The 16468-nt window shown below is 41.3% G+C and overlaps 1 protein-coding gene and 1 pseudogene across 3 annotated transcripts in view; one reads left to right on the top strand and one right to left on the bottom strand.

Moving 5' to 3' along the window:
- ZYG11B (zyg-11 family member B, cell cycle regulator) overlaps positions 1-16468 on the bottom strand; it is a 100884-nt gene that overhangs the window by 41914 nt on the left and 42502 nt on the right. For all 3 annotated transcript variants that reach the window (NR_199864.1, NM_001441954.1, NM_024646.3), the window contains 3 exons: positions 13649-14403; positions 5430-5570; positions 370-546 (listed from right to left, as the gene is read on the bottom strand). Coding sequence is in view for 2 of the 3 variants with exons in the window: in NM_001441954.1 (NP_001428883.1) it covers positions 370-546; positions 5430-5570; positions 13649-14403 (1073 nt within the window). In the remaining variant the exon portion in view is untranslated. The remainder of the gene's footprint in view (positions 1-369; positions 547-5429; positions 5571-13648; positions 14404-16468) is intronic.
- Positions 12749-13273, top strand: RPS13P2 (ribosomal protein S13 pseudogene 2; annotated as a pseudogene).

Genomic DNA, 16468 nt, shown 5'->3' with positions numbered 1-16468 from the left:
GTTACATCTTCTACCATACTGCTAGAAATGGAAAAGACATGTCTTAATCATTTATGTATCCCAGCATTTGATAGTGCCTAGCCCAGAACAGATCCTCTGTGCCTATCTGCTGAAATGATCACAAACTCAAGATCTAGGAGGAAGATGAGTTTTGTATGGCTTGTATTATGTCCCCCAATATATGGATTTAGGTGCTTTTAGGCACGGAATATACTCCTTTGGTGTCCACTTCTCTGTTTTCTTACACTCAGTCATACCACAGCCTCCAAAGGCATTTGAATTTCCAGCCTTGGTCTATTAAACTGAACTGTAGGAGATGAGTAGAAGACACTACAAGGACTATTTGAAAAGGAATTCACATAAGCTTACCTGCTGGTGATTGGGAAAATGTTCCATGGCTTTGAGCAGCAAATGGGTCACATCAGCCAGGAGTCGGACAGGCATCCCTGCAGCAAGATCCTGCTTGGTTAAGTTAAATACACAGGCGCTTGCAGCCAGTTGCACTGGCAAATTCATAGGGTGGTTTCTCATCCCAGTAACCACAAGCTGGAAAAAAAAAATTAGTCCTCTTAATTCACCTTATAAATACAAGCCCTCTTCACAGAGCAGAATTATTTTGTTGGTCTATAGTAATTTCAAAGATGTCATAATTTTCTTTTTCATCCTCATGTGCAAAGAGCCTAGGATATAGCAGTTACTCACAAATAGTTCCAGTCTACCTCACCAAGGCAGGTATTCAGCTATTCATATCTAGGGGTTTTCTGTAAAGTTAATGAATCTTTTTCACACAGGTCACTCATCTTTGTATTTCCAAGACCTACTTATGGTGCCTGTTATATGGAAGGCAGTGAATAAATTCTCACTGACTTGAATAGAGCACACTCCACTCTCAAATTTCAATCTTCAGTTCCTTGAGAACACTGCTGAGGTTAAAGTGCAATAAAATCCATTCACTTTCCCTGGCCTAGACAACTATTTCTCACTTTTTCCTCTGCCCTCAAACCCCCAACGAATCCTTCCCATTCCTCACTATCAGCTGAAGATCTTGCTTTCAACTACACTAAGAAAACTGCCAGCCTGGGCAACATGGTGAAACCCCATCTGTATAAAACAATACAAAAATTCACTGGGGGCCAGGCATGGTGGCTCATGCCTGTAATCCCAGCACTCTGGGAGGCCAAGGCAGGTGGATCACTTGAGGTCAGGAGTTTGAGACCAGCCTGGCCAACATGGTGAAACCCCATCTCTACTAAAAATACAGAAAGTAGCTGGGCATGGTGGCACGTGCCTGTAATCCCAGCTACTCGGGAGGCTGAAGCAGGAGAACTGCTTTAACCCAGGAGGCAGAGGTTGCAGTGAGCCAAGAGCACACCATTGCACTCAAGCCTGGATGACAACGGTGAAACTCCATCTCTCTCTCTCTCTATATATATATATGTGTGTGTGTGTGTATATGTGTGTATGTGTATATATACATATATGTATAGATGTATATACACATATATGTATAGATGTATATACACACACGTGTATGTACATATACACACACGTGTATGTACATACACACACACGTGTATGTACATATACACACGTATGTATACATATACGTGTGTGTGTATATATATATATATATAAAGCTGGGCATGGTAGTACACGCCTATAGTCCCATCTACTTGGGAGGCTGAGGTGGGAGGATCACCTGAGCCCTGGGAGGCAGAGCCTGTAGTGAGCCATGGTTGTGCCACTGCACTTCTGCCTGGGGGACAGAGTGAGACCCTGCCTCTAAGGAAAAGAGAAAAAAAAAAAAAAAAAGAAAGAAAGAAAACTGAAGCAACCAGAAAAGAACTTCAGATTCTCATTACCACATGTATCCTACTTACCAGCATACGTACATATACATGTCACCTTCCTGCCTGCTACCATAAGGAATCTTTTGGGGTCCTTTGTAAAACAAATCCCTTCATGTATATGTTAGATAATTATTTTCTTGTCTACTGAAAGGAAGCTGTTCACCCCTCCTACTCCTATATCAATTTTTTATTCTGTACTGGATCATTCATATCAGGATACAAACAAGATATATTTTTCCTATTAAAAAAAATCAAAACATCCCTCTTTTAATCTCACTTCCTCAAACGATTACCATCTTTTTTCTTTGCTCCCCTTTGCAGCAAAATTCCCTATAAGAATTGCCTTGGCCAGGCATGGTGGCTCATGCCTGTAATCCCAGCACTTTGGGAGGCCGAGGCAGGTGGATCACTTGAGATCAGGAGTTCGAGACCAGCCTGGCCAACATGGTGAAACCTCGTCTCTACTAAAAATATAAAAATTAGCTGGGCGTGGTGGCAGGTGCCTATAATCTCAGCTACTCGGGAGGCTGAGGCAGAAGAATCGCTTGAACATGGGAAGCAGAGGTTGCAGTGAGCTGAGATAGCACCACTGCACACCATCCTGGGCAATAGGGTGAGACTCAGTCTCAAAAAAAAAAAAAGGAATTGCCTAGGCTAGGTGCAGTGGCTCATGCCTGTAATTACAGGACTTTGGGAGCTCAAGGCAGGAGGATCACTTGAGGTCAGGAATTCGAGACTAGCCTGGGCAACACAGCAAGAACCTGCCTCTACAAAAAATTTTTTTAAAATTAGCCTGTGTAACATAGTGTGACCCCCGTCTCTACAAAATTAGCCCGGTGTGGTTGCATGGGCCTGTAGTCCTAGCTACTCAGGAGGCTTAGGCAGGAGGATTGCTCGAGCCCTGGAGTTTGAGGTTACAGTGAGCTATGATCATACTACTGCACTTCAGCCTGGGTGACAGAGTGAGGCACTGTCTCAAAAATAAATAAATAAATTTATTTTTAAAAATTTGAAAAATTAGCCAGGTGTGATGGCACACACCTATACTCCCAGCCATTCGAGAGGTTGAGGCAGAAGATTGCTGAGCTCAAGAGTTTGAGGTTGCAGTTGCAGTGAACTATGATCGTGCACCACTGCACTCCAGCTTGGGCAATACAGCTAGATCTTGTATCTTTAAAAAAATAAAATAAAAGTGGCTCACTCCTATAATCCCAACACTTTGGGAGGCCAAAGCGGGAGAATCACTTGAGCACAGGAATTTGAGACCAGCCTGGGCAACACAGTGGGTTTCCATCACTACAAAAAAACCAATAATAATAATAACAAATTTTAAAATTCAGCCAGGCATGGTGTTATTAGCTTGTAGTTCCAGCCACTCTGGAGGCTGAGGAAGGGGGATCATTTGAGCCCAGGAGGGAGGTCGAGGCTGCAGTGAGCCATGATCATGCCACTGCACTCCAGCATGGGTGACAGAGTGAGATGCTACCTCAATAAATAAACAAATAAATAAATAAATAAATAGCCTATATTCTTCCATTTATCTCTGAATCATTCTCTGAATGTCTGAATGAATATTTCAGATCAAGACTAGAGATCTAGTCTTCTGTTGCTCAGTTCACAGTAATCAAAACAAAAAAAAAAAGACAATTCATATACCAAGTGCCAACATCCTCTGATATATATAAAAGGAGTGACAGGTGTTGGTGATAATATCCTAAGGACTAAAATGTTACTGGTTCCTACCCAAGCGCCTCATTCTCAGAATTTAAGATATGTAGGATATCAAGTTGTGGCTCTGCCACTGACTTATTATTACTTAACGTCACAGAACCTCAATTTCATTATCTGTAAAACAGAAGATAAAACCCATCTCTTGGAATTGTGCCCACTAAATGAGGTGCCAAATATAATAGAGTCCTAAGCTCATTGGTTTTCAAAATTGAACGTGCGTAAGAATTACCTTGGAATTATCTTGGGGGCTTATTAAAACGTAGATTCCTGTGCCTCATCTAGCCCTACTGAATCTAAATTTTTGGGAGTGGGGTTTACAAATATCTTTTTTTTTTCTCTTTTAAGACAAGTTTTCACTCCTGTCACCCAGGTTGGAGTGTGGTAGCATGATCTCAGCTCGCTGTAACCTCTGCCTCCCTGGCTTGAGCAATTCTCCCGCCTCAGTGTCCCATGTAGCTGGGACTACAGGTGCGTGCCACCACAGCTGGCTAATTTTTGTAATTTTTGTAGAGATGGGGTTTTGCCATGTTGCCCAGGCTGGTCTTGAACTCCTGAGCTCAAGTGATCTGCCTGCCTTGGCTTCCCAAAGTACTGGGATTACAGGTGTGAGCCACCATGCCTGGCCACAAATAAGCTTTTTAAATAAGCAACATCCTAGACTTCTAGTGGTTAAAGGACAACTTTGGTTGTTGTTGTTGTTGTTGTTTTGAGAGAGTCTTGCTCTGTTGCTCATGCTGGAGTGCAGTGGCACGATCTCGGCTCACTGTAAACTCGGCCTCCCAGGTTCCTCATGCCTCAGCCTCCTGAGTAGCTGGGATTACTGGCGTGCACCACCACATTTGGCTAATTTTTTGTATTTTTAGTAGAGATGGGGTTTCGCCATGTTGGCCAGGCTGGTCTAGAACTCCTGGCCCCAAGTGACCCACCTGCCTCAGCCTCCCAAAGTTATTACAGGTGTGAGCCACTGCGTCCTGGCCCAAAGGACCACATTTTGATAAATGTTGCCCAAAGCATTCAATAAAATTAAGAAATCTCCTTTCTTGCCCTTCAAAAGCTGTTTTGGTTAAAATAGCTAGGTGCTGTGATGTACACACCTGTAGTCCTAGCTACTTGGGAGGTTAAGACAGGATTGCTTGAGCCCAGGAGTTTGAGGCCTGTGAACAGCCACTGCACTCTTGCCTGGGGAACACAGTAAGACCCTATGTCTTAAAAACAAAACAAAACTTAATTGCGGAGTAATGTAAATCAGTTAAGAATGCATAGTAGGTTCTAAACAGCATGGAAAAGTACCTTATAGAATTTCAATATTTGCTTTGTCTTTACTTCTCTCTTTTTTTTATTTTTTTAATACTTTTTGTAGGAATGGGGTTTTGCCATCTTGCTCAGGCTGGTCTCGAACTCCTGGGCTCAAGCTACCCATCTGTCTCAGCTCCTGAAGTGCTAGGATTACAGGCATGAACTACCATATTTGGTGCAATATTGTATTTCTAAAAAATCTATTTGGGAAGCAATATAGGGTTAATATACAATACAGTGTCCTGATTCCAGTCATATACTTTCATTTTCTACAGTAGCTGGTGATAAAATATCATGGTAGTCACTGGTTTTAGGTAGATAAATATGTACTACAAGACATTTATATTGCTTAATGAGATTATTGTGAAGCTTCAATAACATTGTACAACTATCTTCTCTCTCGTTTATAGCTAATGATTGAAATCACACGTCATCAATCACATTATAAATAATAAAAAAAGACTAAATGCAAATTTTCACCAATTTTCTTCAAAAAATCATCTGCCCAGGGAGATCATTTCAAAAATTTCATATCCAGTTTCTTATTCTTACCTTTAAAATTTCTGGCTTTGTTTTTTCCATCACATGAGTCAGACTAAAAAGATGAAATAGAGCTTCCCGAACAAAGAATGCCCGTTCACTGTAACGCTTCAGTGCTTCTGCAATCTGAGTTTCATTGGCTTCCCCAGACACCTGTGAACATAACCAGATTAGCTTTTAGAATTCTCTCTCTTTCTCTATCTAATTATCATGTGTGGCCAGGCGCGGTGGCTCACGCCTGTAATCCCAGTACTTTGGGAGGCCAAGGTGGGTGGATCATGTGAAGTCAGGAGTTCGAGACCACCCTGGCCAACATGGTGAAACTCCATCTCTACTAAAAATAAAAAATTAGCCAAGCACGGTGGTGCATGCCTGTAACTGCAGCTACTCAGGAGGCTGAGGCAGGAGAATCGCTTGAACCCAGGAGGCGGAGGTTACAGTGAGCTGAGATCACGCCACTGCACTCCAGCCTGGGCAACACAGCAAGACTCTGTCTCTAAATAAATAAATAAATATCATTTGTATACATGGTATCTTGGATAGTTATGTAAAGCTGGGATCAAATAAAAATGACTATACTTTCCAATCTATCCAGATTAGTCATCTTAAACAGCTATATCTGTCTTGAAGAGATGTATATTAGATAGGCTCAGAACCTAGCATAAGACCATGGGCGAAATTTTCTGTATTATACCTAAAATAGATCTCAAGATATTTAACACTATTATAAGGCCCTACCGCTTGATTAGGATCCTATCTGCCTCTTAATCCCCTCCCTCTAGCTCACAATGTTATAACTGTATGACCTTTTTTCCTCACCTTTCCGTAAGTCAAGCTTTTTCTCAGCAAAGGACCACTCATACAATGTCCTCTCTGACTGAAAACTTCCTTTCTCTCTTTACCTGACTAATTTCTACTCATTCTTCCTTATTCAAGTTAAGGACACTTTCTTAGAGAAGTCTTTGTTGAGCCACTGATTTAAGTTAGGTCCCCTGAAACATCTCTTTCAGAGCTATTATCATAATCCCCCACTACATTGATCCATTCACCATTGTACCACAATAGCTAGCGTTATGCTTGGCTCAGAATACTTTCTCCATAAGTATTCATCAAATAAATGTATCAATTAATTTCCCCAGATTTATCACGCTCCTTTTCAGCACCAAGAGGTTCTGTTTAAAATTAAGTCTTTCTAGGGATTCCCAACATAAAAGTATATTATTTTAAGATAATACGCTTATCTTAAAATGTAGTTCAGGTGCCATTCGGCAACCAAACGTAGGTAGCAGAAAGTGGCTCTTTATAAAAGTAATCCAACTAGTAAGTGAAAAATAAATGATTAAAATATCACCATAATCCCCAATGAATTGATAGATCTAGCTACTAAGTGTCAATAACTGCTAACATCACAGAAAGAGAAACAACTAGATATTTATGTACCTCATAACGTAAGAATACAACACCTAAGGGTCTGGCCAAAGGGATCTAACGTAAGTCTAATTAAGCCTCCAAATCCAGCTACCAATTTGCAGAAAATACAAAGAGAAAGATGCACCATTAGTATACAATCAGCAAAATCCAGGCTGGCAGAGTGGCTTATATCTGTAATCCCAGCACTTTCGGAGGCTGAGGCAGGAGCATCACTTTAACCCCAGGAGTTCCAGACCAGCCTGGGCAACACAGCAAGACCCTGTCTCTACAAAACATCAACAAATACAATAAAATCCAGACTGAGGGAAACTCTACAAATCCAAACGATAGATTATTCAATAAACAAATTATAAGGAAAAGAAAGGGATGAGGAGAAACCTATAAACTAAAAGATACTCAAAAGACATCAAATTGTTTTAAACAGACAAGATTATACAGGTGCCTAAATAGTTGGGTCATAAAATTATAAAGAAATGAAAGGACATGGTTGGGTGTAGTGGCTCGCGCCTGTAATCCCACCACTTTGGGAGGCTGAAGCGAGCTTTGGGGTAGATGACAAAGTTCTGTTACTTAACCTGAGTGATGGTCTCAAGTGTGTTCACTTTATTTTCAACTCATTAAGCTATATAATTATTTACTGCCTTTGTCTCTGTTTTATTTTACAATAAAGTTTTAAAAAATGCCAAAAAACGTCATTCAGAGCGACTATCTCATAATAAGGGGAAGATTTAGTCTTTTTTGGCAGTAACATTATACAGTGTGACACAAAAGTAATCAAATATTTTAAAAATATATTACTCAGTAACTAAGTTGTATATAAACATATAATATTCAGCCAGGCATGATGGCTCATGCCTGTAATCCCAGCACTTTGGGAGGTAGAAGCAGGAGGATCACTTGAGCCCAGGAGTTCAAAACCAGCCTGGGGAACATAGTAAGACCCTGTCTCTATAAAAGAAAAGAAAAATTAGTTACGTGTGATGGTGCATGCCTGTAGTCCCAGCTACTTGGGAGACTGAAGAGGACTGCTTGAGCCCACGAATTTGAGGCTGCAGTAAGCCATGACTGTGCCACAGCACTCCATGATGCGCAACAGAGTGAGACTCTATCAAAAAAAACAAAAAAGCCTATAAACGTTCAGATTGGAATATGCAGCTTTGAGGAAATGAAGGGATGTATCATGGTTGACATTTCAACCATTAATAGGATATGCTACAAGAGTCTGAAATGAATTAGACTACAGTATTGATATATGTCACATGACACAAGGGTACATATGAAGAATTTCTAAGATTGTTGAAATAATAATAAAAGTTTCTTTACTTCCATTACTTTACGTCTTTTCTCTTTTTTTTCCTTTTTTTTGAGATACGGTCTTGCTCTGTCGCCCAGACTGGAGTGCAGTGGCACGATCTCGGCTCACTGCAACCTCTACTTCCCGGGTTCAAGCAATTGTCATGCCTCAGCCTCCTGAGTAGCTGGGATTACAGGCGCCCGCCACCACGCCCGGCTAATTTTTGTATTTTTAGTAGAGACGGGATTTCGTCATGTTGGCCAGGCTGGTCTCGAACTCCTGACCTCAAATGATCAGCCAACCTCGGCCTCCTAAAGTGCTGGGATTACAGGCATGAGCCACCACTTCCAGCCTCCATTACTTTACTTCTTTAAACCCTTTTTAAACTTTCTATTTATGTATAACATACATACACAAACTGGTTTGGACTACATATTCACATATACAAATGGGTATTTAATAAAATTTTTCAAAGTGTTCAGTTCATTGAATCACCCAGAACTTTTTCTTATAAATTCAGAAAAAAACAAAAAATGCTGAAATGTGAAATGAAAAAAACTCTAAGAGGGAAATATAAAATAATCTAAATCAGACTTTATTCTTCCTTTACCCACATTTGGTTGGTTCCAACAGCTTTATAAATCTCTTATACGAAATATATCCTCAAGTTACCTTGAATATAAAATTAAAGAACTCTTGTTACTGGAATGTTAAAGACTCTAAGCCAATTTTTTTTTTTTTTTTTTTGAGACACAGTCTTTCTCTATTGCTCAGTCTGGAGTGCAGTGGCACAATCTTGGCTCACTGCAACCTCCACCTCCCAGGTTCAAGTGATTCTCCTGCCTCAGCCTCCTAAGTAACTGGGACAACAGGCATCTGTCACCATGCCCGGCTAAATTTTTTTGTATTTTTAGTAGAGGCAAGGTTTCATCATGTTGGCTAGGCTGGTCTCCAACTCTTGGCCTCAAGTGATCCGCATGTCTTGGCCTCCCAAAGTGCTGGGATTATAGGCGTGCTCTAAGCCAACTTTATTGCATATATATATATATATTTTTTTTTTTAAGACAGAGTTTTGCTCTTGTTGTTCAGGCAGGAAATCAATGGCGCCATCTTGGTTCACCACAACCTCCACCTCCTGGGTTCAAGCAATTCTCCTGCCTCAGCCTCCTAAGTAGCTGGGATTACAGGCATGCGCCACCACGCCCGGCTAATTTTTTTGGGATTTTTAGTAGAGGCGGGGTTTCTCCATGTTCGTCAGGCTGGTCTCCAACTCCTGACATCAGGTGATCCGCCTGCCTCAGCCTCCCAAAGCACTGGGATTACAGGCGTGAGCCACTGCATCCAGACATTGCCTCTATGTTTTATTCAGTGAACAACACTTCTCTACCCAGTGACAAACCCTCACATCTGGCTGCTCAAATTATAAGTATATTCTTTTTTCTCCCAAAGTGCTGGGATTACAGGCGTGAGCCACCACGCCTGGCCGACTAAAGCTATTTTTAAATTAGTCTGTATCTTCTCCACTAGACTAGAATTCCTCAAGAGCAGGGATATTAACAGATATCTTTTTGTTGTTGTTTTTTTGTTTTTGAGACACAGACCCACTCTATCGCCCAGGCTGGAGTGCAGTGCCACAATGCTGGCTCACTATAACCTCCGCCTCCCAGGTTCAAGCAATTCTCCTGCCTCAGCCTCCTGAATAGATGGGATTACAGGCATGTGCCACCATGCCTGGCTAATTTTTGTATTTTTAGTAGAGACGGGGTTTCACCACGTTGGCCAGGCTGGTCTTGAACTCCTGACCTCAAGTGATCCGCCCGCCTTGGCCTCCCAAAGTGCTGGGATTACAGGTGTCAGATGGGGGTCTCACTATGTTGCTCAGGCTAGTCTTGAACTCCTGAGCTCAAGCAATCCTCCCACCTCGGCCTCCCAAAGTGCTGGGATTAAAGGCATGAGCCACCACGCCTGGCCAAAAAACATTTATGTACCTTCACTGCATGTTGATTACTGCAGTTCAATATAGGAGTCTGACTTCAAGGGAGAGCTCTAAGTTAAGACACAAATTTAGGAGTCATCAGCATATAGATTTAAGGACTGAGGTGCAGAACTCTCCAACAGTTAGAAGCCTGGAAGATGAGGAAGAACCAACAAAGGAAATTGAGGCTTAGTAGCAAGACAAGTAGGAAAAAAAAAACAAGACAAGTATGATATCCTGGAAGCTAAGTTAAAAAAAAAAAGGTATCTCAAGGAAGAGGCAAAGATCAATTATGACAAATACCATTTTACTTTGGGTCAAATAAAATGAAGACTAAGAACTAACACTGGGTTTAGCAGATTTTCAATGTTCTCATGAGTTGGGAGCTACAGCATGGTAGATAATCCAAGTATGGGATAAGGTGGCCAACAAATGTAAGAATTCTAGTTCTGGAGAAATGGAAGGTTCAGGAAACTGATGGTAACAGAAGAGAAAACTGAGTAGGGAAATAGTGAGAAGAGAAAATCGAGTGGGGAAATACTGATGACAGAGCTGGAAATTCTATGGTAAGAAAGCCAGGCTAGGCTCAGGGGCTTACACCTATAATCCCAAAACTAGGAGGCCAAGGTGGGAGGATCGCTGAGCAAGAACCCATCTTTACAAAAACACTAAAAAAAAAAAAAAAAAAAAAAAAAATTAGGCCAGGCACAGTGGCTCACGCCTGTAATCCTAGCACTTTAGGAGGCCGAGGCAGGCAGATCACCTGGGTCAGGAGTTCAAGACTAGCCTGGCTAACATGGTAAAACCCCATCTCTACCAAAAATACAAAAATTAGCTGGACATGATAGCAGGCACCTGTAATCCCAGCTACTCAGGAGGCTGAGGCAGGAAATTCGTCAAAACCTGGGAGGTGGAGGTTGCTGTGAGCCGAGATCACGCCATTGCACTCCAGCCTGGGTGACGGAGCTAGACTCCATCTCAAAAAAAAAAAAAAAAAATTAGCCAGTTATGGTGGCACATGCTTGTGGTCCCAGCTACTCAGGAGGCTAAGCCAGGAGGATCCACTCGAGCCCAGGAGGTAGAGGCTGCAGTGAGCCTGTTCATGCCCACTGTACTCCAGCCTGGGTAACAGGGCAAGACCCTGCCTCTGAGGAAAAAAAAAAAAAAAGTTATTGTAAAACAGTGATTCATGAGTTTGGCTGGACACTGCAATCATCTAAGCTTTAAAAAATACTGATGCCTGGGTCTCACCTCTCTTCCTAACGCAGTCTTTGCACGTATTATTCTGTCTGCCTGGAATGCTCTCTACTGAGCTACTCACCCTTAAGATCTCCACTCATCCATCAATTTCTCAGAGAAACCAGGCCGAGGGTGGTGGCTCACTCCTGTAATCCTAGCACTTTGGAAGGCCAAGACAGGCGAACTGCCTGAGCTCAGGAGTTCGAGACTAGCCTTGGCAACATGGTGAACCCCTGTCTCTACTAAAATACAAAAACTTAGCCGGGCATGGTGGTGTGTGCCTATAGTCCCAGCTACTTGGGAGACTGAGGCAGGAGAATCACTTGAACCTGGGAAGCAGAGGTTGTAGTGAGCCAAGATCATACCACTGCACTCCTGCCTGGGCGACAGAGCGAGACTCCATCTCAAAAAAAAAAAAAAAAAAAAAAAAAAAAAAAAATATATATATATATATATATATATATATAGTTTAAAGCATACATCTATAAAAGGTATAAATATAAAAATGTATTTCTAATCATATAATCACCACTCCCATTAGGTTAAGCTCCTTGGAGGCAGATCCTATATCATTTTCTTTTTTTTTTTTTTCTGAGACGGAGTCTCACGCTGTCACCCAGGCTTGAGTGCAGTGGCACAATCTTGGCTCTCTGCAACTTCCGCCTCCTGGATTCAAGTGATTCTCCTGCCTCAGCCTCCTGAGTAGCTAGGACTACAGGCACATGCCACCATGGCTGGCTAATTTTTGTATTTTTAGTAGAGACGGGGTTTCACCATGTTGGCCAAGCTGGTCTTGAACTCTTGACCTCAAGTGACCTGCCCACCTCTGCCTCCCAAAGTGTTGGGATTATAGGTGTGAGCCACTGCACCCAGCCTCATTTTCATTTTTGAATCCCAAGCTCTACCAAATCCAACTGATGTTTGTTAAACTAAATTTAAACCATTAGGCATGAGAAATCTTAGGAAAAGCAAAATTCTACCATTTCTACAGTAGAGATCTCCTTAGAAAACTTGATCTTCCACTAGGTATTCAATTCAACAAGGGGTGTCCTTAGTTTCTCTGAAGTTATCCATTAAAAACAGTATATGTAGCTGGGCGCGGTGGCTCATGCCTATAATCCCAGCACTTTGGGAGGCCGAGGCGGGCAGATTACGAGGTCAGGAGATTGAGACCATCCTGGCTAACACAGTGAAACTCTGTCTCTACTAAAAATACAAAAAATTAGCCAGGCGTGGTGGCGGGCGCCTGTAGTCCCAGTTACTCAGGGGACTGAGGCAGAAGAATGGCGTGAACCCGGGAGGCAGAGCTTGCAGTGAGCCAAGATAGCGCCACTGCACTCCAGCCTGGGCGACAGAGCAAGACTCCGTCTCAAAAGAAAAAAAAAAAACAAGCCTTTCGTTGCCTGATCGCCGCCATCATGGGTCGTATGCGTGCTCCTGAGAAGGGCCTGTCCCAGTCGGCTTTACCCTATCGACGCAGCTTCCCCACTTGGTTGAAGTTGACATCTGACGACGTGAAGGAGCAGATTTACAAACTGGCCAAGAAGGGCCTTACTCCTTCACAGATCGGTGTAATCGTGAGAGAATCACATGGTGTTGCACAAGTACGTTTTGTGACAGGCAATAAAATTTTAAGAATTCTTAAGTCTAAGGGACTTGCTCCTGATCTTCCTGAAGATCTCTACCATTTAATTAAGAAAGCAGTTGCTGTTCAAAGCATCTTGAGAGGAACAGAAAGGATAAGGATGCTAAATTCCATCTGATTCTGATAGAGAGCCAGATTCACCGTTTGGCTCAATATTATAAGACCAAGCGAGTCCTCCCTCCCAGTTGGAAATATGAATCATCTACAGCCTCTGCCCTGGTCGCATAAATTTGTCTGTGTACTCAAGCAATAAAATGATTGTTTAACTAAAATAAAACAAAAACAAAAACAAAAAAACCATATATGTAAATGGTTCAAAATAGCTAAACATTATCATCATAAGACAACCTATTGTTTAGCCAGGACCTACTACGTGACTTGCCCTTTACATAGATTATTATTAATCTTCAGAATTCTGCAAGGTAAGAATAATATCTATTCTACAAATAAATAAAAACTCGAAGTGACATCATAGCTTGTTCTGGGTCATGAAGCTGAGATTTTAATTAGGACTCTAAGCCTTTCAACTATATGCAGCCCTGTTTCATGAACATGTTCCATATATTACAGACATTCATCTTTAATAGAGTCTTATGCAACTAAGATATTGGTCAGCCTGACAAAATAATACATTTTTAAAGTCTAACCTTCAAATGTCCTTCGCCTGTGAGGAATTCAGAGTAACCAGCATCAGTAGCCAGCAAACCTACAAATTGCATGCTTGGACGTTGTTGTATAAAGGCTTCAACGGCTTTATCTGTCACGTGCTTTCTCCCAGAAACATCCAGAGAAACAAGGTTAGGTAGGATGTCTTTTTGTTCTAGTAAGCGAAGAGCTATGTCTGATGTAAACTGTTTATCATCTGAGATATCAAGATGATTCAGATGTTTGAGTTCCCGAACTACATCCAGTATCTGGGTAGTTGTCATTTTTAAACATTTCAAGTGGTGCATGGTTAGAGACTTGAGTCGGTCTTTGCAGGCCAGTAGAGCAGTGATGTCTGTGATTGAGGTGTTAGAAATATCCAAGCTCTCTAATCTTGGCAATGAGGCAACTTCAGCCAGGTCTTCATTGTAAAAGAGAACATTCGTGATGCTTAAAGCTCGAAGGCCAGAAAGCCGGCTGAAGCAGCGCTCGTAAGGATCCTCGAGGGAGAGAGTTAATGAATTCAGCACCAGGCACTGGAGATTCTGCTGGATCCATTTGTTACTGCCAAGCCCACTGATAATGTCTGTAATCGTGATATCAGCATTCACACCTGTGGCATCAAGTTCCACTAACTTGTGGTGGCAGAAAGCTTTCCGGAAAGCAACAGCAGAGATCTTTGCTTTGCGAATGCAGGCTCGCTTTAAGCGCATCTGGTTGCCCCTAAAAATACCCACAGTTCCATCATTCAATAGACCTGTGGAAAAACAAGCAGCGTTTTAAATTCAAAAAACAGTTAAAGAATAGCCAAAATTTCCATCACACTTTACATTTCCAAAGCGCTCCCATGTAACAGTATCTCGTCTGATAATCACAATTCATTTAGGTGAGATTATTATTGTTTACAACTTGTAGATGAGTAAACTGGGGCTCAGAGAGTGGCTTTCCAAGATCACAGGGCTAGCAAGTGGCAGAATCAGGACTGTGGCAGACATTATTGATATCCACTAACATCTAGTTCTTACCTTACCAGACAACTACATTTCCCAGCCCATCCCTGGAGTTAGCTGGAGCCATGTGCCTAGTTCTGGCCAATGCACTATATGTTGAAGCACCTGAGAGCCAGTGCATGATTTTCCATGCTGTCTTTTCCTGCTATGACAAACGAGGAGACTTCACGTTCTAGAGAGTATAGTTATATGAGGAGAAACCCTCCATCAGTTTGGACCCTAGGGTGACCATGAAGCAGAATCCTCTATGGACTTGCAGAGTTTATGTACCACAAGTGAGGTATAAACCTTGTGTTAAGGTATTTGATTTGTTACCAATACATTTCTAGCCTATCCTTTAAATTCACCTTAACATATTATTATACAAACACATATACACATAATATATTTAGCATGCACTTAATGCCTTGTAATTCATTAATAAACCACTAGCCAGATCTCAAACCTTATTAAAGCGATCTAGGCCTGGGAAACATAGCAAGACCCCATCTCTGCAAAATAACTGAAAACGAGTTGGGCACAGTGGTCATGCCTATAGTCCTAGCTACTAGGGAGGCTGAGATGGAAGGATCATTTGAGCCCAGGAGTTTGTGGTTATAGTGAATTATGATTGCACCATTGCACACCAGCCTGGGTGACAGAGTGAGAACCTGTCTCTGAAAAAAAAAAAAAAATATATATATATATATATATAGTAGTTACAGCTTCCCCCCACACTCCCCCTCCTGCAGATGAATGTAAATGAAGTCGACACAGTAACCTCTTGAAGTGCCTTCGAGATCTACCTGTCTACCAATCAACAGTGTCACAAGCATATGATACTCTGGAGGCACATCAACATATCACATATCAACTAAACAACATTGACTGTGAAAGAAGTAACAATCATGCCAAAAACAGGTAGTCTAAGAATAGTATGGGGTGAATGAGCAGTTGAGGACAGGTAAATAAATAGCCTGAAGTCATGAGAGGAACTCTAAGGCGGCATCTTAGCTGGCCCATACTCAAAATGCAGCTAGGCTGCCAGCCAGTCACCCTTAAATTAGAAATGAGGTGTTTTTAAAAGGGAGCACTATTCTCTAATGAGTTTTGCAGACTTAATTACAGTTACACAGTTAAAATCAAGAAAGGCCTGTGCAAAACCTGCCAAAGTGGACAAAAATGACTAATTACATATTAAGAACTCCATTACATTTTAGAGCTGTGCTGCCCAATACATAGTCACTAGCTCCACACAGCTGGAGAGCACTTGGAAAGCAGGTGGTACAAAGTGAGGTCAGCTATAAAGTACAAAATATACACCAGATTGTGAAGACTTAATACAACAAAATAATGTAAAGTATCTCAATTTTTTATATATACTACAGGTTGAAATGATCATTTTTTAATATATTGGGTTAAATAAAAATTATTAAAACTCGTTGCACTTGTTTTTCTTTTTATTTTTTTATGTGGCCACCGGTAAATTTAAAATTACATTTCGATTAAACAATGTAGTTCTAGAGACAGCCTTTCAAATTACCTGCACTCTATTTCAGGAGAGTAAATTTCATGATGGGGTCCATTCAGCAAACAGTTTATTAAACAATTACTATATGTCAAGTACTCTAAATGTTGTAGATACAAAGAAAAATAAGATATGCCCCTATAGTCAAAGGATTCATAATCCCATGGAGTAAAAAAGACACAAACAGCCATAACAAAATGAGATATATGGTATATCAATGTCAAGTATAAAGTATCACAAAAACAAAGAAAAGGAAGTAAACCATCATGAATGAAGATCTGGAAAAGATTTGATGGGAGAGGTGA

The sequence above is a fragment of the Homo sapiens genome, chromosome 1 (assembly GCF_000001405.40).
Source record: "Homo sapiens chromosome 1, GRCh38.p14 Primary Assembly".
NCBI lineage: Eukaryota > Metazoa > Chordata > Mammalia > Primates > Hominidae > Homo > Homo sapiens.
Note: the sequence above shows the minus strand (reverse complement) of the source record. Positions and strands in the feature narration are given on the sequence as shown.